This window comes from Homo sapiens, chromosome 6 (genome assembly GCF_000001405.40).
Source record: "Homo sapiens chromosome 6, GRCh38.p14 Primary Assembly".
Lineage (NCBI taxonomy): Eukaryota > Metazoa > Chordata > Mammalia > Primates > Hominidae > Homo > Homo sapiens.
Genome location: NC_000006.12, coordinates 136970631 through 136997530, shown reverse-complemented (window position 1 = coordinate 136997530; position 26900 = coordinate 136970631). Strand labels below are relative to the sequence as shown.

Below are 26900 nucleotides of genomic sequence, written 5' to 3'. Positions count from 1 at the left end.
GAGAATCACTTGAACCTGGGAGGTGGAGGTTTCAGTGAGCCAAGATGGCACCACTGCACTCCACCTGGGGTGACAGAGCAAGAGTCCGTCTCAAATAAAATAAAATAAAAATGAAAATAAAATAGATTTAGCCAAGCAGCAACCAAAAATACTGTAAGTCCTTTAAAGATAACTGAACCTCTCAAAAACACTATTTCCTGAAAATTACTACCTCTCCAAACTGGCTGGATGACTACTCTGGTCATGTATCGTCCCTTATTGGAGTTAGACTCTCTGTGCTTAGTTCCTACTACCACTTCTCCCAAGCCTTGGGTCCTCAGTGACATGTGCTTGAAGGCGGCCTTGGCCATGCAGGCCATTACTTTGACCATCTCAGCAGGACTGATGTTCCTCCAGCCCCCTTGGCCCATTTGGTGGCTGCAAAACTTCAGTCCTACTAGTTTTAATCTTTAACAAATTTTCCCTTTGATTTTCACTTCTGGTTTTCATGCCAATGAGTTAAGGTTCTTTCAGCATTGCTACATGCAAGACTCCCTTGAGAGAGGGGCTGAGGGCTGGTGTGTGAGGCTGTTTGGTGGTGCTTTCTGTTATGCTTGTGTTGATGGGTGGAGGCTCCTTCTGTCCCAAGGAACTGATGCTCTGACTCTTTGCTATAACTGGAAGCAGATGAGGCATTTTCTCCCTTACTCTCCCCAACAGATCTCTTTAGATTTCTCAATCTGTCATTTTCTGGATTAGGTGGTATTCGGAGGGTTTCCACCAACTCAGAAGATGGACATATGGCTCATGTTTATGTTTTCATGCAAAGGCCACTGAGACAGATGAGCACTGATGGGGATAAATACCATTGGTCATTTGCCTGTCCCTGGCACTCACTTTTGAGGGGCATATGAATTAGATACTGCTCTTAAAGGTCTCATACGGTTAAAATTATTTACATATTATTCTTTCTTCTCAGGCAAGTGCATTCTTTCCCATTCTGAAATTGATTTGACATGCTAAATAAAACATCAGGATATTTGATATGAGAGGAAAATTTAAAAATGATAGAGATATTATCCCCAAGCCCCCAAAAAGGAGGTGTGGTATTGGTATTGGAACTCTATTAAATTTTTTGACTTTTTGCTTTAAAAAGAATTTGCCAGCATTTGATTAACAAAAGGATATATGGACAAATGGAAACACACCTTAGAACTTTTCAAATTGACTGATTGAGGGATGGATAAGCCAAAGAAGAATCAGTATGGTGTACTGATTGCAAGGATAGACTCTTGAAGCTGAGAGGCTTGGTTTCTGTAGCTTCCTAGGTTTGTCACCTCAGGCAACTTAACTTAACCTCTTTGGACCAAACTCCCTCATCAGTGAAATGAGGATGATAATTTTACATACCTCAGAGGGCAGCAGATTTAAATGAATCAATATATTTGAAGCACTTAAAACCGTGCCTGACACAAAATAAGTGCTCAATAAATAAAACAATAAAAACAGCAATAAAAACAGCACCAGATGCACATATAAGAATGTTCATAGAAGCATCATTCATTTTTTTAATCTGCAAAAGAACACAAAGGCTTATCAGCAGAAGAAAGCTTTGAAAATGAACTACAACTTCACAGGGTAACATGAATGAACCTCACAAACATAATATTGAGCAAAAAGATTGATTTCTAAAAGAACACAGATAGAATAATTCCACTTGTATAAAATACCCAAACATAGAAAACTAAGCACTATATTGTTTAGGAATACATATATATGTTGTAAGACAAGGAAATGACTACAAGTTTGAGATTGTGGTTCCCCCTTGGGAACCAAGGACAGAGATCACATTGGAATTGGTAATGGTCTCCTTAAATGGTGATGAAAACAAGAGTTTTCCTTTGGTTATTCTTCTTTAGACTGAGCATGTATAGTATACATGCCCTAATGTATGTCTATTTAATTAAGCAAAACAACAATGGAATTCCAAAGCCCCTGAATTTTAGTGTCATACTCATGGGTTCCATAATCAGTATTAGCTTTGTGACATTGGTCAAGGCATTTGAAATTATGAAAACTGTCATACATTTTCCCTTGGAATTCACAAACAAGTATATTAATGGTCATATTCTGTTTATAAAAGCTCTTAGTTTGCAAACTTTTTACTAAGTCTAAAATTCTGAACAGGAAAGAGCCATTGACAGATTAGGTTCTATGCAGAAGGGCATGACCTTAAAACCTTAGCTTTACTGAGAACTGTCATTATTCAAAATAAACAAATACCTGAACTCTGGTAGGAAATGAGGAGGACACGTGATTCACACAAACTTCTGAAATGCAAGCACCTTTTTCTTATTCACAGGTAATATGCATTAATAAGTAATAAGATCTCAGGCAGGCAAACAGGTTGTCCCACTGATAAAAATTACGTAGTGTAAACAAATCCCTCTTTTAAGAACCAGCTACTAGTTTATCTCTGTTAGCTGATTTTAGCATGCAGGGAAGAAGGGTTAGGATTTTTCAAACGCTCTGTCTTTACACTTCAGCTGATTGTTCCTTTCTGTAATAAGCTTGCCTTGGTTACAATCGCTTAGTGACCATTAGCAAATAGAATGTGTTTGCTTTTCCTAAGGTCCATGTTTCCTGCCAGCTTGTTGCCACCAGCTTCCAAAATAAAATATTGTGAAATTACAGATTGAAACAACACTTTCACGTAGAAGCATCTTTAGTCGAGGCATCATGAGGAACTTTAAACATTTAACCTCTGGGAGAAAAAAAGAGTATAAACATATAAACAGAAGTATAGATAAGACATTCATATAAACAGAATTATAGTTAAGTATAATTAAGGTGTTTCTTGACTGGGCACAGTGGCTCATGCCTGCAATCCTAGCACTTTGGGAGGCCTGAGGCGGGAGGATCACTTGAGCCTAGGAGTTCGAGACCAGCCTGGGCAACTAACAAGACCCTGTCTCTACTTAAAATTCAAAAACATTAACCTGTGTTAATGTTTTTGGTGTGGTGACAAGTATCTGCGGTCCCAGCTACTCAAGAGGCCAAGGCAGCAGGATGGCTTGAGCCCAGGGGTCAAGGCTGCAGTGAGCCGTGATGGCGCCAATGCATTCCAACCTAGGCAGCAAAGCAAGACCCTGTCTCAAAAAAAAAGTTTCTTGTTAGCAACCCACATCAACTAAACCCTAGGCTCAAATACCAGGAGTGTTGTGTTCATTTTGAGCAGCACCTTTAACAAGGGCTTTAGCCAACCAGAAAACAACTTTAAAAAGTCTCAAAGCCAAGACTTAAGGGGAAGTGCAGAGAGAAAGAATCCAGGACTTAGTGAACCCCTGGTAACCATATGCAAAGGACTTTCTTGCAAACGAGGACATTAGATATATATGTCTGTTGCTTCAGAGAATAAAATTAGGACACATATTTGGGAGTCTCTGGAAGACAGAGTTCAGTTCTGAGTAAGGGAGGGTCTTCTATAATTAAGTGGCAGCTCCGAGGTACTGAGTTTCCTGTCACTGGAAAGGTTCAAGTACAGGCTGGTTTCTGCTACAGCTTTTGTAGACGGATTCCTCCACAGGGTTGGGATTTGGGATAGATGAGATCTAAGGTCCCTTTCACTTCTAAATGCCTAATATGAAATATGAAAAAACAATATTTGAAATCTTTTTTTTTTTTTTTTGAGACGGAGTCTCACTATGTCACCCAGGCTGCAGTGCAGTGGCGCGATCTCGGCTCACTGCAACCTCCACCTCCCATGTTCAAGCGATTCTCCTGCCTCAGCCTCCCGAGTAGCTGGGACTATAGGTTAATACCACCACACCCGGCTAATGTTTTCTATTTTTAGTAGAGACAGGGCTTCACCGTGTTAGCCAGGTTAGTCTCGATCTCCTGACCTCATGATCCGCCTGCCTCGGCCTCCCAAAGTGCTGGGATTACAGGCATGAGCCACTGCACCCGCCCTGAAATTACTTTTCTTTCCTTTCCTTTTTCTTCCACACAATTGACTAGCTTGCAACTCATTCTCTATTTTTCAAATACTGCCATAGACATGCCCTTTGTGTACAGCGAAGAGGAGCCAAGTAATACTCATCTGATATAGTTTGGCTGTGTCCCCATTCAAATCTCAACTTCAATTGTATCTCCCAGAATTCCCATGTGTTGTGGGAAGGACCCGGGGGAGGTAATTGAATTATGGGGGCTGGTCCTTTCCGTGCTATTCTCGTGATAGTGAATAAGTCTCTTGAGATCTGATGGGTTTATCAGGGGTTTCCACTTTTGCTTCCTCCTCATTTTTCTCTTGCTACCACCATGTAAGAAGTGTCTTTCGCCTCCTGCCATGATTCTGAGGTCTCCCCAGCCATGTGGAACTGTAAGTACAATTAAACCTCTTTTTGGGTATGTCTTTATCAGCAGCGTAAAAACAGACAAATATACCATCCTTGAATGGGACACACAGGAGCCCAGAAGTTCCTCCCTGAGGAGTCAGCACCAGACTGACACCTCTGAGTTCTCATCCTTACAAAAAATAAGTTCCAGTCTAGAAATGTCATCTTCCCCTCTCCCTTCTTCATGGCCATGATGCTTAAGCAAGTCCTTTTTACCTCCTTCTTTTTTCCTTAATGAAGTTTTTGGGTTGCCAGAAAAGGAAATACTGTACAAATGAGACTCAAAAGCTAACTTATTTCCGTAAATCTCTTTCTGACTCCTAGATATGTTCCCAGTACCTGAAACAGTACTGATCATATAGTAGTTACTCAATGAAATATTTGCTGATAGAATGTTTCAATAAAGGAATCTTTAAATTTATATTAATTAGTCCTCAAAGATAGACCCACACAATAGTTAACTGATCTCTGACAAAGGCCCAAGGCAATTCGATGGAGAAAGGGTTGAGCATTCACCAAATGGTGCTGGAACAATTGGATAGATAATGCCAAAAAAAAAAAAAAAAGAATATAGACAAAGACCTACCTTTCACAAAAATTAACTCAAAATAGATCACAGACTAAATGTGAAGTTCAAAACTATAAAACTTCCAAAAGAAAAACATATAGCAGAAAATCTAAATGATCTTGGGTTGGCAATGAGTTGTTAGTTACAACACCAAATACATTATCCAAAACGCGGTTCTGGCCAAAGGAAGAGCAAGTGCTCAGTCTCTGAGATGCACATGCACTTGTACTTTGAAGAGAAGGTCAGAAAGCAGGCAGCTGATCATAGAGAGGCAGGAGGAGCCTGGGAGAAGATCTGGGCAGGAGGCAGACAGAGGCCAGATCACAGAAGCCTGATGGTTCCTGTAAGGAGTTTGAGTCACACTTTAATGGCAATGGGGAGCCACTAGAGAGTTTTAAGCAGGAAACCGATATGACTTGATACAGTTAATAAATGTCTATTCAATCTAAATCTGAATGACCCTTTGATGGTGGCTCAGTGGGCACCTTCAACTTTTGAAGAGAGAATATGAAAGAAGAAAATGAGTTCTTTTGTTTGGGAGGTGGGGTTGGTTTTGTTTTTTATTTTTATTTGTTTTTGTTTTGCTGGGAGTTTGGAATAAAGCATTGAGTCTGGGGAATACTAACTTTAAGATACTTGCACTATTATCATGGGAAGATGCCAAGGAATATATGGGAATACACATCAAAAAAATGGGGGAAAGGATAGCTCTTAAGGATGAATCATTCTCATAAATAGAATCAGAGGACAAACTAGCTAAGGGAGAGCATAGACTACAAAGAAGGGTAGTCAAGAATAGAATTCTGCCTAGATTTGTGAGCATTTAAAGAGAAGGCAGAGGAAGGATGTTGAAAGATAAGGGGAAATGTGGAAATCATAAAGGCCACTTTGGCCAAGCTCCATATAGTCTCTAGTAAAGGAATAGAAAACCCAAAGTGAGAAATTTTCAGAGAGATTGTAACTAGAATGAAGACTCGAGTCAGAGGAACTAATATGAAGAACCCAGTAGAGGCAATACTATCTTCTGTATCAGCAAAATCAGCTCCCATTGAAGGCAGCAGGTTGAAGCCATAAGTAAAAGCTCTGGTCAAAATGAAATTGGGTCCCAGAAAATTTATCTTATAAAAATAATTGGGCAAATGCACAAGAATATAAGATGTTCATTGCTGTATTTCCAATTGCAAAAATTTTTCAGTAATTTGCATCTCCAACAATAAAGAATTAATTGAATTGATTTTATTACATCTGTATGGGCAAAATTAAGTAGCCATTAGAATAAAGGAGAGTATTCATACTTTATTTAGCAGAAAAATGTTTTTAAAATGGAATGTATCATATTTTTATAAATATGTATACATTTTTATATATTCATATTTATAAATATGTATACATTTTTATATATTCATATTTATAAATATGTACATATAAGTGCATAGTTTTTATTTCTGCTTACCTGTTTTCGGTTTTCATAATGGATATATATTACTTGTGACATTTTAAAAGTATTTTTAAAAGAAAAATGTGGAAATTCTATTATGAGCACATTTACTCTGTTACTGGCACCACCCTCAGGATCAGAGAGGCCTCTAGGCTATTGTATTTTAAAGACCAAAGCCTCAAAGAGAAAGTAATTAGGATGGAATGGTGAGAATTCAATGAACAATATCTTTCCAACAGTGTTATTAAGGACAGGCACAGCATGTAAGTTCAGATGGAAACATTCAAAATGCATTTGAACCGAGGAAGTAAAACCAGTTGAGTACAGCTGAAGATGAATAATCCCATGAGATATCTACCTAGCTGAAATTAAGGAACAATAAGACTAGTGTCGGTAAGGAAAGCTCTTCAACCCAGCCACAGAAAAGGGAGCTCATACAACCTGTGAACCATTATGATTTAATTTTAATTGTTTAAAAGAACCAGAGGAAACTCGGTAGTTGCAAGTGGTGTGTGAATTTTTAAAATATTTTAATACTGTTAGATAGAAAACAGATGCTCACTTATGGAAGCCGTTTTTGTTTGTATAGAATCCGAAATACAAATGTGCAATCGTATAAGCAAATGTCTCAACCTTCAAGTTTGCCTTTTAAATACTATTTGAGGCCCATGGTATGTAGAATAAAAATTATTAAAGTTTCAAAGTTTACAAGGATTTTATAAAGACCCTACATATCTGATGGGAGAGGGAGCTAGTAAACAAATATTTCTGTGTCATATCTCTATTTTCAGGGGAAGAATGGAAGGCAACGCCTCCGAATTAAATTTTGGGACCCCCAGTAAAATTTCAGGAAAGCCCAGAACTGATCTGAGAATGCACAAACTTGGCATGTCTTTGACAGAGAAGGCTCTGGGATTTCAGCGCGTTCATTGCCCTCCACTAAGGAGCTGCTCAGCAAAGGGGCTTCCCTCTGCTCTGCTCTCGGGTTCGGAATCCGGAGCGAGTTTCCAGTGAGCGGCGCCCGCTGAGCGAGTGGGAAAGCATCGCGCGTGCCTTTCCCCGCGCGCGTCTGCGGATCAGCGCAGGCGAGGTGGGTGGGTAAGTGCAGGGGAGCGGGGCGGAGGGCGGCAACGCACAGCAGTCAAGTCTTCCTTGAAATGCTGCAGGCAAAGCCAGACATTTACAGTTAAAAATGGCTCGATCTGATTCCACAGTCTTGCCAGGAAAGTCTCATTTCTTTGTGACCCTCCGCTGAGGGCTAGGACCCGTTCCTAACAGGGAGCCTTACATTGGCAGCGCCCCCGCGTGCGTTCAGAAACGGAGTAGGGTTACTCGCTGCGCCTGGTGCAGCCCCCTACACGTCCTCAGCCTGCCAGGCTGCGGGCCACATCTTTCCCGGGGTGGCTTTGGACTGACTGCGTCCCTTCATAGTCACCATGGCCCCTGGTTGGAGGCAGCAAGTCCAGGGAGAGGTGATGAGAAGCCCATCCCTCCAGACGGGCTCCTCCCACATCCGGGAGTGTTGGCCCCCATACCAGATGAATGCTTCCAGAGTGACCTCCCCATAAAGAGGTGGCTGAAATGGAAACAGCTTACCTCGAGTTCAGGCTTGCAGAAAATCACAGCTGCTTCAGGAAAATTCAAAAGAATTTTCACACACACAACCTTGTCTCCTCCAGCCAAGGGACATAAATCTCCACCCAGAAGACCCACTGCCCAGTTTAGTTTTAGTTCTAGCACCCATCCCCTGCAGCACCGTGTTCATCTTAATCAGAGATTTTGTAATGAGAACATCTGCTATTCAAGCTCACAAATTTGGCAATCTGATATAATAATGTATCTTTCATATGCAAGAAGGAACATTGTTGGGAGTGTTTTTGGAAGTTGGTTTTCCTTGTGCAATTTCATTATTTTGTTTTTCTCCCCCACTTCACAGCCAACTGAGATTTTAAAGCTGAGAAAAACTCAAGACATATAAACCATGACTCACAGCTATTTGTGAAAGATAAAATGCTTCTATTTCTCAGGTTTTAACTTTGAAAATTAAATATTCAAATAAAAAAATAACATTACTCCAATAGATGTCGGTGATAAAAATCATGAAAACAGTTTCTGAAAAGCTTCATAACACATCCAGATGGTTCTTTCCCCCTGTCCAATTCTGACCTAGTTCTGAGATTTTCTTTTTAAGTGCATCTTGACTTAACTGTTTACAAGTTGCCTCTTCAGCTTTTTTCCAGCAGAAGCCCCTGAGGAACCTTCTAGGGGTCCAAAAGGTTTCAGGGGACATTTTACTCCCTAAGGTCAGCCGAATGAGTCCTCCTTTTCTTTAGGGTATGACAGTCCTTTTCCAGACCTGTCAGCATGCCGAGTGCCTGTGGGGACAGAGGGCTGCTCCGGTGCCCTGAGGTGCCACAACTTGCCTCTCTCCACACCCCAGAGCCAGTCAGGAAGCTAATTGGTGTCTGCTACTCTCGAAGCAGCTGAAAACCTGAAGAGATGGAAAGGTTGCTTGTCAGGGTCTTAAGATCTGATTCAATAAGACAACAACGTAGAATTTTCAATTCTCCTAAGAAAAATTCTTTTTGAAAGAGAAATATGTCTAGAGCCAACCGTTATCTGCTCAAGGACTAAAGACTATTCTATAAATTTCCACAGTTTTATCTTACACCTTAAAGGGAGATGACTAGAAAAGGTCAAGATTATCTAAATTGGTTTCTATAAATCCAATAAAGACGTTGTTACTAAGCATCTACTGTATTGGAGCACTGGGGACGTAAGGATAAATGTTGGGTGCCCTGCCCTCAAGGAACTTACAAAACCTCCTCCATATACCAGTCATTTAAGAGGAGGTGTTTTCTTCGCCAGCAGAGAAAGTCGCTACTAAATGGATTTCGTACTTCTCTGACCTTTTGTCAGTGATTCCCAAGTCTTCATTTAAAATGTCAGCTGTAATGAGGTGATGCCCTCTGGAGAGACTGGAGCCTCTAACTCTTTCTTTACAACAGCCAGAAATCTGAGTGACATCCTGGACTCTTTTTTCTCCCTCGCCCTTCACCTCAATCCATCATCCTGCAGTACAAATTCTACCTCCATCATCTTCCAAGTCTTACACATTTCTGCATCCCCACTACCCCGATCTTAATTTGGGGTTTCAGATGTCTTACCTGAAATACTTGAAATGCATTTTAGCTTATCTTCTGATTTAAGCCGAATCAGGCACTTAATCATTCTCCACATTATATTGTAATTGCCTTTTTATTTGTCACCCTTTCTGCTAGATTAGAAGCCTTTTAGGGCAGACACTGAGTCCTTAATTTCTGTATCCTGTGCACCTAGCACAGTCATAGGCTAATAGCTGACATTCAGCCCACGCTAATTAAATGTATGTAAGAAAGGTACATGGACGCACGTATGCATTGAATATCTCCAAACCGGTTTGACAGTTCCTCCTTTCCTGTTTCCTCCCTGATGTCAATAATCACTCTCTATATTTTAGCAGCACCCTGCTACCCTAGTAAATTGTTGGTTTTAACATGCTGTGGGTGGCAAACTGGATCATCAAAGTTATTTAGACAGTGAATAGTAAGGGTGAATAGGCTCTGACTGAGTCCCTCTTCTACAACTAAAACAAATGAGCTTCAGTGAATTGATTTTGTGAAAACTGTTTCAGTGCCTCAGGGAACTTAGTTCCGTTGCTGTATTCCAGATTGCAGGAGTTGTCCTTAAGTCCGACTTCTAGGTAACTAAGGTGTTACTATATAAAATATTTTACTATTCAATGATTTTAATTTCTACTTTTATTTGAACAGGAATCTTTCAAATTTGCTTCCAAAAATGTATAGCAAGGATCTTGCTTTCACTGCTTTTTAATGATAAATATTTCTTACCAAAAATGTGTTCTTAAAATTTGTCTTGGTAGAAAATATATTTCTATTTTTATTTATATCTTTGTTGCTTAATTTTTGTTTGTTTTTTGTTTGTTTTTGTTTTTGTTTTTGAGACATAATCTTGCCGGAGTGCAGTGGCGCGATCTCAGCTCCCTGCAACCTCCACCTCCCAGGTTCAAGCAATTCTCATGCCTCAGCCTCCGTAATAACTGGGATTACAGGTGCGTGCTACCACACCTGGCACTAATTCTTTTGCATTTTTAGAAGAGATGGGGTTTCACCATGTTGGCCAGACTGGTCTCGAACTCCTGATCTCAGGTGATCTGCCTGCCTCAGCCTCCCAAAGTGCTGCTGTTTAACTTTTTTGAAGCATGGTTTAATATTAAGTGAGACAGGATGTCAAAAATCCATGCTCAAATGAGTTTAGAGTACCCTTAACTAAAAACCTATGAGCATTTGCATTATGCTGTTGAAAATCTCCCCCAATCCTGTTCTTAATGGGTTGTCAATGGAAAGCTGGGCAAGACAGCCCTAAGATACTTCTGAGGACAGGGCATTGGTTTCTGCTTTTTAAGCTGTGATTCGTTATATTTATTTTTTGGAGTGAAGCTGCTAAACACCTTGTAAAAGGAAGTGGAGCATCAAAGCCAGACAATCCTCCGTGAAAGCATCGTAAGTGCCTCAGTTGGAAGTACAAGTCCAGTCCATGCCATCTCCTCTGAAACTGCCTTCCACCTGAGCCCCAGCAAAGTGTGGGCCTGGACAGCCAGGTGTCCTCAGCCCATTGGAACAGGGCACCTGACCCTGGACTAGCAAATGCATGGGCTGGGCTAAGCCAATTAGATTCTTTCTCTCAGAAATGGAGACAGAATTAGTGGGTGGATGTTGTGTACTTGAGTCAGGGTGGAAGCAGCTGATCTAGAGAGAGAGGAAGCAGAGAGAAGCAGGGAGACAACCGCTCTGAGGCCGTAGGGGAGGCACAGAGTGTGACCTGAATTCAGCGTACAGTCACCTATGTAATTTGTGGGGCCCGGTGCAAAATGAAAATGTTGAGCCCCTTGTTTAAAAGTAAGAGGAAAATGTCATTAAAGGCACTAAAACATAAAGATTTTTTTTTTCATTAAAAATATTTTCTGGGCCGGGCGCGGTGGCTCACGCCTGTAATCTCAGCATTTTGGGAGGCCGAGGAGGGCGGATCATGAGGTCAGGAGTTCGAGACCAGCCTGACCAACATGGTGAGACCCCGTCTCTACTAAAAATACAAAAATTAGCTGGGCGTGGTGACGCGTGCCTGAAATCCCAGCTACTCAGGAGGCTGAGGCAGGAGAATCACTTGAACCCAGGAGGCAGAGCTTGTGGTGAGTGGAGATCATGCCATTGTACTCCAGCCTGGGCAACAAGAGCAAAACACCATCTCAAAAAAAAAAAAATTCTTATTTATAAAATGTAATAGGGGCATACATATTAGTTAGCTTGCATTGTCATAAAATACCGTAGACGGTGGCTTAAACAACAGACATTTATTTCCTCACAGTTCTGGAGGCTCGAAGTCCAAGAGGAAGGTGCCAGGAGAGTTGGTTTCTGCTGAGGGCTCTCTTCCTGGCTTGTAGACAACCACCTTCTCACCGTGTCTTCACATGGTCTTTCCTGGTGTGCTTGCTGAATGAGCGCTCTCTCTGGTGTCTCTTCCTCTTCTTACTAGGACACCAGTGCTATTGAATTAGGACCTACCATTAAGGCCTCATTTAACCTTAATGATCTCCTTAAAGGCCCTATCTCCAAATACAGTCACATTAAGGGTTAAGGATTCAACATATGAATCTTGGGTGACCACAGTTCAGTCCATAACAAGGGGTAATCATGATACATAGGTAACAACATAGAACTACGAATTGAAGAAAATATTTTTGGCGTCCTAATCTTATATAACATAATAAATAGTGTGCTTATTATTTCTCTTCTGTCTATGAGTTTCTTCTCTTATTTTTGTAACAGTACCACTGCTACCACCACTGCCAATACAGTCATCCCTTGGTATCCAAGGGGAATCAGTTCCAGGAACCCCCTTAGATAATAAAATTCTCAGATGCTTAAGTCTCTTATATAAAATGGCATTGTATTTGCATATACTCTACATATGTCCTCCTGCATACTTTAAATAATCTCTAGATTACTTATAATACCTAATACAATGTAAATGCTATGTAAATAGTTGTCATATTGTATTTTTTACTGTGTATTGTTTGTTATTGTGGGGTTTTTTTTAATTGGTTTTTCTTTTCTGAATATTTTCCATCCTCAGTTGGTTGAATCTGTCGATGCAGAGCCCGAGGATGTCTATACTTTATTAGTATGGTATCTTGATTGATCATGAGGTTTTTCTGGCTCACTTCTGCAAATTTGTTTACTAGGTCATCAAAATTTATACTTTTGGCAACTTCATTTTTAATTGATATAATTGAAAGCCACATGAGTTGCTCTTGGAATATGCAAGATTGCAAATAAATTTGGTAATTTTAATTTTAAGGAGGATCTTTCTGCTGATGTGAATGTTACTGGAGCTGTTAGGAGTATTTTATAGGCTGTGACGACATTAGGATAAATGTCTGATAAATTATATATATTAATACATCGAGAGCTGACAATTATTTTAGAATAATTTTTCTAAAAAGACTTAACTCTTCATACTAACCAGTTTCATGTAAGTCTGAATTTTATTTTAAACTCAAATTGTACAATGGTTTTTTATTTCCTCTCACATTTTCTGTAACTTGTGGAGGTTTTACAAGAAACTGGCTTTATGATTTGTTGAAAATGCAAACACCTGTTCATGCATTCTATCACTGTATCTTCAATTACAAGATAAAATTTAATTTTAAATGTCTTCTTCATCAATAATTGATTCATCCATTGCTTTATATGAAAATACCGGGTTTTTTTCACCAGATGAGATGGTCTTTAAATTTAATTTCTGTTTCTAAGCTTGTGAATATTTGTTTTGCAATGTTGTGGTAGTTTCCAAAACCAGGGATTCTAAATTCTGAAGACTCTTAATAACTCCCCGACAGGTTTTATTGCAATGTCTATGTGTACATTTTTATTTTTGTAATAGTTTACTGATAAAGTTTGACTGCCTGACAGCCAGCAGTTTCTAGCCAAGAAGTTACAGTTTGTGCAGATGCCCCAAGAATGGGCTCCAGGGATAGACCAGCAAACTGACCTCCCAACACAAATCCTAGCACTGCCTTCATGTGGAGCTTCTCCTGTCTCCAGGGCTATGGCTGCTGTCTCCACAGTTGCTGCTTCTGCTGCTGTTATCACCATGATCACTACCACCAATCTGGGCCCAGGTCCCATCCTGGCCTGTGCAGCTGAGCTAACTGCTTGGCATGCACATTGCTCATTGCACGCTATACCACGAGCCTGAGCCAACAAGGGCATGTGCTGCCACTTCACATATGCTCCATTGTCCCATCAGACTTAATAACACAAATCCAAAAAACACATATGCTCCATTGTCCCATCAGACTTAATAACACAAGTCCAAAAAACACATATGCTCCATTGTCCCATCAGACTTAATAACACAAGTCCAAAGACAGAATGTGATAGCTCAGTGACAGCATAGCATGAAACCAAACACAGGGCCCTTCCACATGCCGTGTGCAACTGTACAGGTCACTGCCCATAAACCAGCCCTACCTCAATTCCTCATTGGCAAGTTCTGGCACCATCCCTCAGATATCTCAGCTGTCTGTACTTAAATCTTGTCTTAGGAAGCTCCTAAAGCCTACTAGTATATTTTTACCAAAAAAAAAATCCCCTATTGGATAGCCACCACTGTATGCCCAGTCATTGCCCATTCTCTCATCTTCACTAAAAAAAAAAAAAAAAAAAAAAAAAAAAAAAGCAAAGAATGAAAAGTTATTCTTTTCAAGGGAACCATATGCCACCTTCCCAGAATTCCATACATCTAAAGGTAATTACGTGATTCAGTTATTGACAATGGGAAAGAAACCAGAAGTCTGCTAGAGATTTCTGGAAAATATCTGCTTTCCTAGTAGACATACAGCCTTTTCTGTTCTGTTCCTCTTCTTCTTCCTGCCAGGAATGCAGATGTGAGGCTGGAGGCAGTAGAGCCATCTCGCAATCATGCAGCAACAAGCAAGGCAGAGCTGGCATGTTGTTGACTGATAACATCGAGAAGCTGCTATATTAATCCTGGACTGCCAATCTCTGAACTTCTTGGTATATTGGGAACATAAACTCTTTTGGTTAGGCACTGCGTCAGATTTCTACTACATGCAGCCAAATGCAATCTAGATTGAAATACCCCTTTACCTAAGTTAGCTTTAGCTGTTCTCACAACTTGCTGTTTGTGCTCCACCCACAGCATATGAGATCCCTTTTGCCCACAGCACCCTCCCTCAGTGTGATGTCGTCCCCCAACCAGTATTTGCAGGTTTTTTGTTTTTTTTTTTTAATCACAAAACTGCTCTCAGTCTGCCAAATCTGTTGGCCCTAGAGCCAGAAGTGCTATCTCCTGGGAATTTTTTTTTTTTTTGAGACAGGATCTTGCTGTCATCCAGGCTGGAGGGCAGTGGCACACACTCCTGGGCTCAAGCGATCCTCCTGCTTCAGCCTTCCGAGTGGTTGGGACTATAGGTGAGTGCCACCACTCCCAGCTAATTGTTTTTATTTTTTGTAGAGATGGGGATGGGCAGGGATCTTACTTTTTGCCCAGGCTGGTCTTGAACTCCTGGACTCAAGCCATCCTCCTGCCTTGATCTCTCAAAGTGCTGGGATTACAGGCATGAGCCACCATGCCCGGCCTGGGATCTATTCTTAACCCTTGCCCTAGTCAGGGTGGTCTTCCTGCAGGATTAAGAGTTAGACTCTGAGACTCTGATATCACACCCTGGCTTGGCCTTCCCTTCCCTGTCCTACCTCCCCACCCTGCTACCAGTTTCTTCTGGAGATATTTCCTGATAGACTACAGTAGTCCTCCCTTACCTGAGGTTTAACTTTCTGCAGTTTCAGTTATTGGCAGTCAACTTAGGTCTGAAAATACTAAATAAAATATCCAGAAATAAAAAATTTATAAGTTTTAAATTGCATGCCGTTCTGAGTGGCATGATGAAATCTCAAACCGTCCTGCTGTATCCCACGTGGGACATGAATCCTGCCTTCATCCGGTGTATCAATATCGTAGATGCAAACCATCCATTAGCCACTTAGACGTCGACTCAGTTATCAGACCAACTCTCCATATCGCGAGGCTTGTGTTCAAGTCATCCTTATTTTTACTTAATAATGGCCCCAAGGTGTAAAGGTAGTAATGTTGGTGTGTTGTTATTTTACTATTAGTTATTGCTGTCAATCTCTTGACTGTGCCTAATTTATAAATTAAACTTTATCTTAGGTACATATGCATAGGGAAAACAAATTATATATAGGGTTCTATCTGCAGTTTTGGGCATCTACTGGGGGGCTTACCTACCCAAGGAAGGTAACCCCCGTGGATGAGGGGGGACTACTGTACTTGCACATGAATTTTCATCTCAGGGGCCACCTCTGGAAATTCAACCTAAGACACAAAGATCCCTGATAGAATAGGTATTAATAGGAATTTAAAAATCATTTAAAACTCAATCCATTTTGATGTTTCTTGTACATTTGAGGCTTCAGTAGGAAAAAAGGTATGAAATCCTCATCACTCTTCATATATCCCAACTGATAGCCTAGGAATTTTTTGACAGTTCAATCATAATTTGATAGTTCAAATAAATATACATTTATTTGTTTAAATATACCACAAATCAGGCTGGGTGCAGTGACTCAGGCCTCTAATCTTACCACTTTGGGAGGCTGAGGCAGGACGATTGCTTGAGACCAGGGGTTCAAGACCAACCTGGGCAACATAGTAAGACCCCTCTCTACAAAAAAAAGAAAACTGTTTTAATTAGCCAGGTATGGTGCCACACACTTGTAGTCTTACCTACTTGGAAGGCTGAGACAGGAAGATCCCTTGAGCTCAGGAGTTCAAGGCTGCAGTTAGCTATGATCACAATGCTGCACTCCAGCCTAGGCAACAGAGTGAAAGACCCTGTCTCTTTAAAATACAGATAGATAGATAGATAGATAGATAGATAGATAGATAGATAGATAACTCAAATATAATTGCCATAAGAAGAGAATGTCACTATTTTTATGCCAACAAGATGAATAAAACACACACAAAAAAAATAAAATATGTATCTGTCAAACTTTTTTAGGGCTCTGAGAACAGCTTTAGTGGAAAAAACACCCCGGCATGGGGCTGGCTCCATGGGGACCATAGTTTGTCACTCTGAGCCTCCTCATTACCTCCTAAGACTATAGTTTCCTAATCCTAAAATCCCGGTAATTTTGCTGATCTTTTCTGTTAGTGATTTGAGAAATGCATTTCAGGGCTTTGTTTTGCATGTAAAATAAAGCTGCTTTTTTTTTTTTTTTTAAGAGATGGGTCTTGCTCTGTCACCCAGGCTGGAGTGCAGTGGCAGGATTGCAGCTCACTGGAGCCTCCAAATCCTGGCCTCAAGCGATCCTCCCGCCTCAGCCTCCTGAGTATCTGGGACTACAGGTGTGCACCACCACACTAGGCTATTTATTATTTTTGTTATTATTTTGTAAAGATAGGGTCTCACCATCTTGCTCAGGCTGGTCTTAAACTCCTGGGCTCAAGCGATGCTCCCCCTGTGGCCCCTCAAAGTGCAAAGAAAACTTAACAGCTTTATCCACAGTGTTATTTTCTTTTCTCTTGATGCTGTGAATTATCCCCTTGATGTCAGTGAAGCTGGGGTTGTTTTGAAAGACTTAAATCAATACTTCCATTGAGAAAATTGGACCTTGCTGGCTAAAGATGAAAAGCTGGAACCCTTTCCAACAGCTCACTTCTGTGGGCTGAGATCAGGGGCAGATGGCTCAGTGTCCCTTGAGGTGATTTGATTACCCGTCACGGCCGGACGCCTGGTCTGGGTACGTGAAGAGAAGCACAGACAGGCAGCTGTAGTTACACTGTTTAAAAAAGCAGAGGTACTTTTTCAATTCAATGACAGGAAGGCAAAATACCCCTACAGGTTTGAAGGAAAAATAATTTTTTTCAAAATGGAAAATTTCTTCCTGTCTTAAAGGGTCTGTTTCAATAATACATGCCCTTCAGGCTGAATCTTTGTCATTCTAGAGTTCTATCAAGCTTGGTTAAGAAAATGTCCCAACAAAAACTCCATTAATTCCAAAGACTCGTAGAACTAGAGGGTTGAGGGAGAAACTTCAGGATCATACAATGCTGAGTTTAACTCTTTTGTTTTTCAGTAGGAAGCCAGTGACCTCCTGGCATTTTGGTAGCACATAACCATGCACTTTACCCAGTGGGGTGGATAGGAAGGTGCATGAATGTTCCATGAAGGCTTTTTGGTTGCATAATCAGAAACCTACTTCAACTACTTTAAATAAGGAAGAAAAATCAAGAGGAGGGCATGTGATGGAAAGAATCCTGGGGGCTCTCACAGAATCCAAGGACAAAGTGTGCATCTGAAAATCACTGGAAACTTGAGGAACTCCAGAGACTTCAGGAACCCCCTGAGCATCTTCCACCTCTCAGAAACCACAGGGCTTCTTGCATATCTGCTCCTTCATCTTGCACCTGCCCGCCCCACCTGCAGCCCCATCTCTCTGGCTTCAGCTCTCAGCTCCAGCGCTCACCATGGACAGACTCAACGTCCCAAGTACTCAAGAGGGAAACCCATTTGGTTCTCTCTCACTGTCATGCCAGCCTGGCCACTGGTGAGTCTACTGAGGGAACCCTTAGGTCAAGTGTCCAATTACAGTGCACTCACCAGAGGCTTGGAGCTGGGGAGGCAGGGCCACTTATTCAGCTGTGGAAGTGACCCAGAGGCAGGAAACAATTGGCATCTTTTATAACTTGAGATGGTTTGTTCTCCAGTCATTTTCAAATGACTGTCAAATACGAACAAAATTGTAGCATGTCAAAGTAGTTTACGGAATACAAAAGTAGTCTGGCACTTTTTTTGTTGTTTTATTGTTATTGCTGCAATATCCCATGTCTTTAAATTTAAAAATAAGAAAACATATCAATAGATACCAATGAGACATTTGGTAAAATTCAATAACCATTCATCATTTTTAAATGGAAAAAAAACTGTTAAAACACCATTCAAAAAGCAAATAGCAAGCTAATTAAAATATGTACTAGACAAGAGGTTAATATCTTTCATATAGAAATATTTCTTTCAAGATCGTTTTTTAAAATTATCTTCTCAATAGAAAAAAGTGGACAAAGCAAGTGGGCAAAAGGCAATTCATACATCCAAAAATACTCAGCCTTATAAGAGATTAAAATACAAAAACAATACTAAAGTATTATTGGTACTCATCAAGTAGGCAAAGACTGAGATAATGATTATACTTAAGGCTATATAGGGTATGGCAAAATACACATGCAATGTTTTTGGAAGCACATATTGGTAAAACTTTCTGGCTGGGTACAGTGGCTCATGCCTGTAATCCAGCACTTTGGGAGGCCGAGGCAGGCAGATCACTTGAGGTCAGGAGTTTGAGACCAGCCTGGCCAACATGGTGAAACCCTGACTCTACTAGAAATACAAAAATTAGCCAGGTGTGGTGGTGGGCAACTGCAGTCCCAGCTGCTTGGGAGGCTGAGGCAGGAGAATCGCTTGAACCTGGGAGGTGGAGGTTGCAGTGAGCAGAGATTGTGCCGCTGCACTCCAGCCTGGGCGACAGAGTGAGACACTGACTGTCTCAAAAAAAAAAAAGCCTTTCTGGATAGCCTTGTGATATTATTCAGCAAAAGCCTTAAAATTGATTATGTGATTTTACTAGGAATGTATCAGATGTATTCTGATACTTATGTAAGTAGATTGTACTATAGTATCCCTTAAAATAAAGGAAAATTATAAACAAAAATGCATAACAATTAGGAATTTCAATAATTTATGGCATCATATCAATAAAGATGACATGAGAAGCTGGATAGAAATATACATAAAATAGTTTACAGTTTTATTTTTAGGTAAAAATTTTCATATTACCTATGATTTTCATTTTCTTCTTTGTGCTTTTTCATATTTTCCAAAATTTTTCTAATGTATAGTAATTTTTCATCAAGAAAGAAAAAAATGCAACCATTTACAGAGATGCAAAAGGAAAATAAAAAATTTAAAATAGTGACAAATGGGGAAACATTGGAGCCAACCTCCTTGAAATCAGTACCAACAAAAATGAGAAATGTAGCAATTATTATTTAATATTTTTATATCCTGTCACTGTGAGAAATAAAAAGGAACAAAACAGAGATTAGTCCATGGAAAACAGTTTAGAAAAACTAGCCAGATGCAGTAAAACAGGCTTCTTGAATGTATCAATCACAGGCCAGAAAATGTAAAATAGTAATGAGGAAAATACGCAAATCTGTGACTCATAAAAGATAATCATATCTAACTTATATTCCTAAAGTTGTTGTAAGGAGTAAAAAAAAATAACAGATTTGAAAGCCTTTTGGCATTTTGTAAAAAGTGGTATAATAGGAATAATAATTATATGTCTGCGTTATTTTTTAAAAATTATAAAAATTATGTGATCCCTTCCAAACAATAGTCACTATTGCCCCTCTTGCCAAAAATCACACTTTCTGATATTAATATATTCTCATTATTGATGTCCAGCAGAACAGAGCTGTAAAAACAATGGCTTATGGCAGAAAAATGGTCACTATCCCTCTGCCCCCACGACCCTACACCTTTCTGAGTTTGGCACATATAGAAGCCCAGATATGAAGAGAAATCACTCAGTAGCGCAGTTCTAGAGAGAGCAAAGGACTTGGAGCATAAGAATCCACAGGAGATCCACTAGGGGTGAATGTGCTCTGATTGTCTTGCAGATACCACACATGCAATATCCAAGGTCATTTCCCCCAAACTCGATTCAGAAAGGGTGAGGGAGTGGAATTCTTCTCTACAGGCAGCAGAGGTCACAGGGGCTAGGAGAAATAACAGAGAGGAGACAGAAGGTTCAAGAAGAAATCAGAATGTCTAAATAGAAAGGGGTGTGCAAGAATGGGACCCTGGCTCTAAGGGCCGAGCCGAAGGACCAGCCCTCATTTAGGAGCTGGGAGACAAGGTGAACAGTGTATAGGAGCCACCTCTAACCACTAGCCCCCATCTCCACTCAGCTTCCTCCTTGGGCTCTGAAATGATTGAAAGACAAAGCTCAAACCTGAAGTTGAGTACTGTTTTGTGCCTGATTAACTCACATCCTGAATCAAGAGCAGTATCTCAAATACAGAATAATTAATACATTGATTTAAAAAAAAAGTTTCTGAGGACCTATTTCCAAATGTGTTTTACTTATCTGATACTCTCTCCTGCTTCTCCATCAATATCAGGATCGAAATTTAATGTCCTTCATCCCTCCATATATGTATGTCTATGCCATACCAAAAACCCAACTACTAGGTTCAAATCCCAGCTTCATCACTTTTACATGCATGATTTTCATTAGACCATTTAACTTCCTTGTGACTCGTTTTCTTCATCTGAATAATAGGGAGTAGAACACTTATTTTATGGGGTGCCAGAAAGGTGAGTAAGATCAGGCAAGGAAATCACTTGAGAGTGCTATATACTGGAAATTGCACCATAAGTAGTGGTCTTTAAAAGAATCAATTAACATTATTTTGTTTTTAACATGATACTTTGCAAGTTTCGTAACACCACTGTTAAAAATGTAATGACCTGTAAGCCCAGCACTTTGAGAGTCCAAGACGAGCAGATCATTTGAGGCCAGGAGTTCAACCAACCTGTACAACATGGTGAAATGCCATCTCTATTTAAAAAAAAAAACGAAAGAAAGAAAAGAAAAAGTGCAAAAAATTAACCAGATGTGATGGCATGCACCTTAATCCCAGCTACTCTGGAGGCTGAGGCAGGAGAATCCCTTGAACCCAGGAGGTGGAGGTTGCAGTGAGAGTGAGCTGAGATCGCACCACTGCACTCCAGCCTGGGCAAAAGAGAGACCTTGTCTCAAAAAAAAAAAAAAAAGGATGTAATGAGACAGAGAAACTTTTATTAAATGAGATTCCTCTGATGAAGTGCTGTCTTTTTATTGGGTAGAAATATTTTGATAAACTGATTGGCATTGAGGGTAAGACCTCAGGGTCATGCTTCAGGTGAGAAAAATGCTAAATTGAGATTCAAGAGGCAAGATGCAGAATTCACTCTACTTCTGAGAAAAAAGGAAGAGAAGAAAAGTAAAATGGGGTGGGGACTGGGGTGGGAGAGAGAGAGAGAGAAGGAGAGAGATAGAAAAAAAAAACTTTAGAATTTTATGCCCGGGTTACCTAACCCAATCACAGGGAGAGAGGGTATCCATGGCTAGGATGTCTAGAAGAAAACTATTTCCTCTTGGGATTTAAGAGGGGATTTTCGTATAGTTTTGTGCACTCCTCTCATTTTTCAGAGGGACAAATGCCAGGTCATTTATCCCCTGGAGGAACAGTTAGTTCTCATCTAGACCCTGGCTAGATCTAGATGAGAACTAACTGGCTAGGTCTAGATGAGAACTAGCTGGAGAAACAGGATTAAGAACTAACTGGAGGAACAGTTAGTTCTCATCTAGACCCTGGCTAACAAACTAAGTTATGTCTCCAGAACTACTAACAGGGCAATGTGAGTTACGTGAGTGTAGGATGAGAAGGGGTACTAGTTTGAAATATCCACTTTCATATAGAGATGGCCAATAGATTTTTCACTCAGTGCTGCCCTTTTTTATTTTCAGTCTCCCAAAGACCTATCACTTTAGGGAATTTGAGGTGTTTCACATGTCTACACACCCAGTTGGTCTAGGGTTCGCTGCACCTGCTCCTGTGTCTTCTGGTGTTGGTTTCTCCACCCCAGCATATTTACTTGATTTCAGCAAAGGCTAAACTGTTGGTAGTTTCACTTCTCTTGCCGTACATACCAGTAGGCCCATTAGGAAAAATGAGCTTCTGTTTATCAATTTACATTTAAATGTGTATGTCTTTAAATTTCTGTTATACCTAGTATTATAGCATTCAATTTCTTCACATCATTATATATGTTTTACCTATAAGATTTTAATAAATTGCATAATATTTAATCATATGTATTTATAGTAATTTATGTAACTAATCCATAATGGGTAATGATCATCCTTCTGTACAACTTTTTTCCCCATCTCACTTAAAAGATTTCCCTGGTCATGCACCCAGAGGACACATACACTATTAATGTTCGTAACATATAGTTTCTAAGTGTTTTCTAGGGGGAAAATGATACCAATTTATAATCTTACCAGATGCCGCTACAGCCCTGAGTGTTATCAAGTGTTTTAAACTTTTAAGTTTGCCAGACTTGGCGTCGTGGCTCATGCCTATAATTCCAGCACTTTGGGAGGTTGAGGCAGGCAGATCACTTGAGGTCAGGATGAGTTCAAGTCCAGCCTGGCCAACATGATGAAACACTGCCTCTACTAAAAATACAAAAATTAGCCGGGCATGGTGGCACATGTCTGTAATCTCAGCTACTTGAGAGGCTGAGGCACAAGAATCACTTGAACCTGGGAGGCAGAGGTTACAGTGAGCCAAGATTGTGCCACTGCACTCTAGCCTGGGCGACAGAGTGGAAAAAAAAAAGTTTGCCAATTTCATGTGCAAAAATATCTTGTTTTCATATTTTTGTGTTCACTTTATTTTCATTATTCATTTATTCAGTGAATATTTATTGTGCCACCATATGCCAAGCACAGCTGCAGGCCTTGAACGTACAGTAGTGAGCAAAGTGCCTCCCTCGTGGAGTCTGGGTGTGAGTGAGGGTGCCATTTTACATTAGGGGGTCAGGAAAAGTCTCTCTGATATGGTCACATATGATCAGGAACCTCAGTGAGTCCCCTCCTGTCACCCTGGAGCCTGTGGAGGCCTGCTGGGAACAGGACTTCTTAAAAGGAAATACGTCTGGAAGGCTGTGGTCTAAGTCCTTTTTTGCTGGCTATAAGCGGAGCCTCCAGAACCAAAGGGAGCATACAGCTCTTCTTAAAATTGAAGGTGGTTATGCCCAAGATGAAACTGAATTCTATTTGGGCAAGAGATGTGCTTGTGTATACAAAGCAAAGAGCAACACAATGATTCCTGGCAGCAAACCAAACAAAAGCAGAGTAATCTGGGGAAAGGTAACCCGGGCCCACAGGAACAGTGGCATGGTTGCTGCCAAGTTCCATAGCAATCTTCCTGCTAAGGCCGGCCCGGCGCGGTGGTTCACACCTGTAATCCCAGCACTTTGGGAGGCCAAAGCGGGTGGATCACTTGAGGTCAGGAGTTCGAGACCAGCCTGGCCAACAAGGTGAAACCCTGCCTCTGCTAAAAAATGAAAATAAAAAAATTAGCCAGGTGTGGTGGCGCGCACCTCTTCTCCCAGCTACTCAGGAAGCTGAGGCAGGAGAATCGCTTGAAACCAGGAGAAGAAGGTTGCAGTGGGCTAAGATCGTGCCACTGCACTCCAGCCTGAGTGACAGAGTGAGACTTCATCTCAAAAAAAAAAATAAAAAGAGAGAGTGAGAAGAAAAGAAACAGATACAGAGAGGAGAACACCAGTTAAAGACAGAGACACACAGGGAGAAGACAGCCACATGAAGATGGAAGCACAGATGGAGTTATTTGCCTAAAACCAAGGAATGCTTGGGCCACCAGAAGCTAGAAGAGGCAAGGAAGGAGTCTTTCCTGTAAACTTCAGAGAGAACATGGCCCTGCCTGTACCTTCATTTCAGACTTCCAGCCTCCAGAGCTGTGAGAGAATAAATTTCTGTTGTTTGAAGTCACACAGTTTGTGGCACTTTATTATAACTGCCCCGGGAAACTAATATACCCTCTTTATTATATATTAAATTATCTCATTGAATGGGATCTGTCTCTTGATTCCCTTCATTTATTATATCAATATAACACTATTTTATTACAGTGTTTTGATTTAATACTTCATACTTTTCCCTCATTACTTACCTTTTCTAAATTTTCTTAGCTAATCTTGCCCATTATTCTTCACAATAAGCTTTATTTTTAGAATAGATGTGTCAAGCTTAACGCTGTGTCTTGCACTTGTAATCCCAGCTACACAGAAGGATCCCTTGAGGTAAGGAGTTCGAGATCAGCCTGGGCAACACAGCAAGACTCCATCTATAAAATAACAATAATAATCAGCTGGCTGTGATGACAGGCATCTGTAGTCTCAACTACTCAGGAGGCTGAGGCAAGAGGATTGCTTGAGCCCAGGAGTTCAAGACAGCCATGAGCTGTGATCACGCCACTGCACTTCAGCCCAGATGATAGAGTGAGACCCCATCTCTAAGAGAAATTTCAAAATAAAGAACAAATGTGTCAAGTCCTGTTTCCTCCAAAACATAAACCTAATAATTTCCATATACAAAGTAATTCATTATTTAACAAAAATAAAAATTTACAGTGATTAAATTGAATAACAAAATTTTCTGTTTATTTTAAATTATTTCAGTTTTTACAATTGATTTACATTTAACAATTATATTTACTCCAGATAATTCGATCAATATGTGTTTTTAAAACACTTATGTGCTGAGGTTTGGGCACAAAATAAAAAGAAAAAAAATTATAGGTCTTAAAAAATAATAAAAAATGCATAATGCCTATAGTTGAAGAGAACTATTTATAAATAATAATTAGATTTATAGTTGTTATTATTATAGATAATGATGCATGTCTGATTTCCAAATTATTTAAAATTTTTAAAATTCTTTCCCATCACTTATTTCAAGTAAACAGTAAAATAGACATTCTGCCTCAAGGAATATTTCCACATTCACCACCCATGCAGTCCAATGCCCCAATTCCAATCATGAATGTTTGTCCAAAACATTCTGCTTTCCCAAAATCTTCCTCTTCCCTATATCATGGATGCTTGAATCCCACCAATCCTTCAAGAACCCCTCAAGAGCTGCTTATACCGTGCTAAATGCCCTGAAGTCATCCGAGTTAGAAGCAATTCTTCCCTCTGCTCAAGTTTTTACTTTTCGTCTATAGCTCATTTGGCACTTATCATTTATTGTATAATAATGTTAGTTATCTTTTATTTATGTTTATGGTTTGGACAATGACTTATTAAGTCATATTAGTTTGAACAATATCTTTTGTTTTATTGTGTCCTAAAACTTTTTAAAAATCGGATTGGCTGATGCCACTTACTTCCCCTGAATTTGTGCTTCCAAATAACCTGCTCTTGTATGGAGAAGATGATGAGAACTGGCCTCACCTAAGACATTTTTGTGATAAGGAATTCCCAGCATTTAAAATCCATTTTTGTATAGGTCAGGGTTGGTCCCTGTGGCTATTTCTCTGAATGCCAGATGCAGACATCAGTACTACCGTGATGTTTTCCAGTGTGCTTCAAATCTAGCTTTCTCAATGTGATAAAATAAGCAGTGGGCAAAGGGGCCCGAAAGACTGGATTCAAGCTCTGGCTTTATTCTTTTTTTTTTGTTTTTAGATGGAGTCTCGCTCTGTCGCCCAGGCTGGCACAATCTCGGCTCACTGCAACCTCTGCCTCCCAGGTTCAAGTGATTCTTTCACCTCTGCCTCCCAGGTAGCTGAGAATGCAGGCACGCACCACTATGCTCAGCTAATTTTTGTATTTTTAGCAGAGACGGGGTTTCACCACATTGGCCAAGCTGGTCTCGAACTCCTGACCTCAGGTGATCCACCTGCCTTGGCCTCCCAAATTGCTGGAAATACAGGCGTGAGCCACTGCGCCTGGCTTAAGCTCTGGCTTTATTCTAATCTTTTACTTCTCTGGGCCCCAGTTTCTTCATCTATATAATGATGTTATTGCACCAGATTACTAAGAGGTAAGGTTGGAATTCTTTGTTTTATTTTCATTTCAAAAGCAGTGGAGACTTTTTTGAAAATCGAAGTGGGACGGGGGCAGTGGATAACAGGGAGCTGCTCTTGTGGTAGCTGGGAGAAGGGCTAGGAACCTGCCTCTACTTCCCTCACAGCAGCCCTGGAATCTCCTCTTCAGCTGACCCCAGGATGGCTCCTAAGAACACACTTTGCAACCATTAAACTAGGTCCAAGTTTCCTAAGCTTCAGGCATTCACATGCTACCTTGTGATGTTTGCCGGAATCAGCATATATTGTGTGCTATTTATTCATTCATTCAGCCATTCAACAAGGATTTACTGAGGACCTACTCTGGGATGAAGATCCAGCTAAACCAAAGTCCCTCTGTTGGGGGTGTGGCTACATTCTTAGGAAGCCGTATCTCTCGGTGGTTAGGAGTCTAGGCTCTGAATTCAGACAGATCTATGTTCGTCTGGATTCACACAGGTCTGCCCTTTAAAATTTTGTGAATTGGACAAGTTATTATGCAACTCCTCTTTGCTTCAATTCAGTTTTCTGTAAATCAAAATTTAATTCAAAGGGCTATTGTGACGATTAAATGAGGAACTACATTCAAAGCACTTAGTACAAGACTCAGCACACAGCTCTTAGTAACAGCTGTTATCTACTTATT

General features: G+C 40.4%; 1 long non-coding RNA gene and 1 pseudogene across 1 annotated transcript, besides 2 other annotated features; both read left to right on the top strand.

The window, feature by feature from the left end:
- Positions 1–4299: 4299 nt before the first annotated feature.
- On the top strand, positions 4300–15372 carry NHEG1 (neuroblastoma highly expressed DDX5 stabilizing lncRNA 1). Its single transcript, NR_027994.1, has 3 exons — positions 4300–4357; positions 7171–7477; positions 14378–15372. It is a non-coding gene; the product is annotated as a neuroblastoma highly expressed DDX5 stabilizing lncRNA 1 (long non-coding RNA).
- Positions 6337–7293: an enhancer, noted in NCBI's record as "OCT4-NANOG-H3K27ac-H3K4me1 hESC enhancer chr6:137311375-137312331 (GRCh37/hg19 assembly coordinates)". NCBI's record gives its function as "activates a minimal SCP1, AML or CMV promoter by ChIP-STARR-seq in naive H9 embryonic stem cells {active_cell/tissue: H9 hESC(naive)}" and the evidence as "EXISTENCE:reporter gene assay evidence [ECO:0000049][PMID:30033119]".
- Positions 19936–20466: an enhancer, noted in NCBI's record as "NANOG hESC enhancer chr6:137298202-137298732 (GRCh37/hg19 assembly coordinates)". NCBI's record gives its function as "activates a minimal SCP1, AML or CMV promoter by ChIP-STARR-seq in naive H9 embryonic stem cells {active_cell/tissue: H9 hESC(naive)}" and the evidence as "EXISTENCE:reporter gene assay evidence [ECO:0000049][PMID:30033119]".
- RPL35AP3 (ribosomal protein L35a pseudogene 3) lies at positions 23272–23601 on the top strand (annotated as a pseudogene).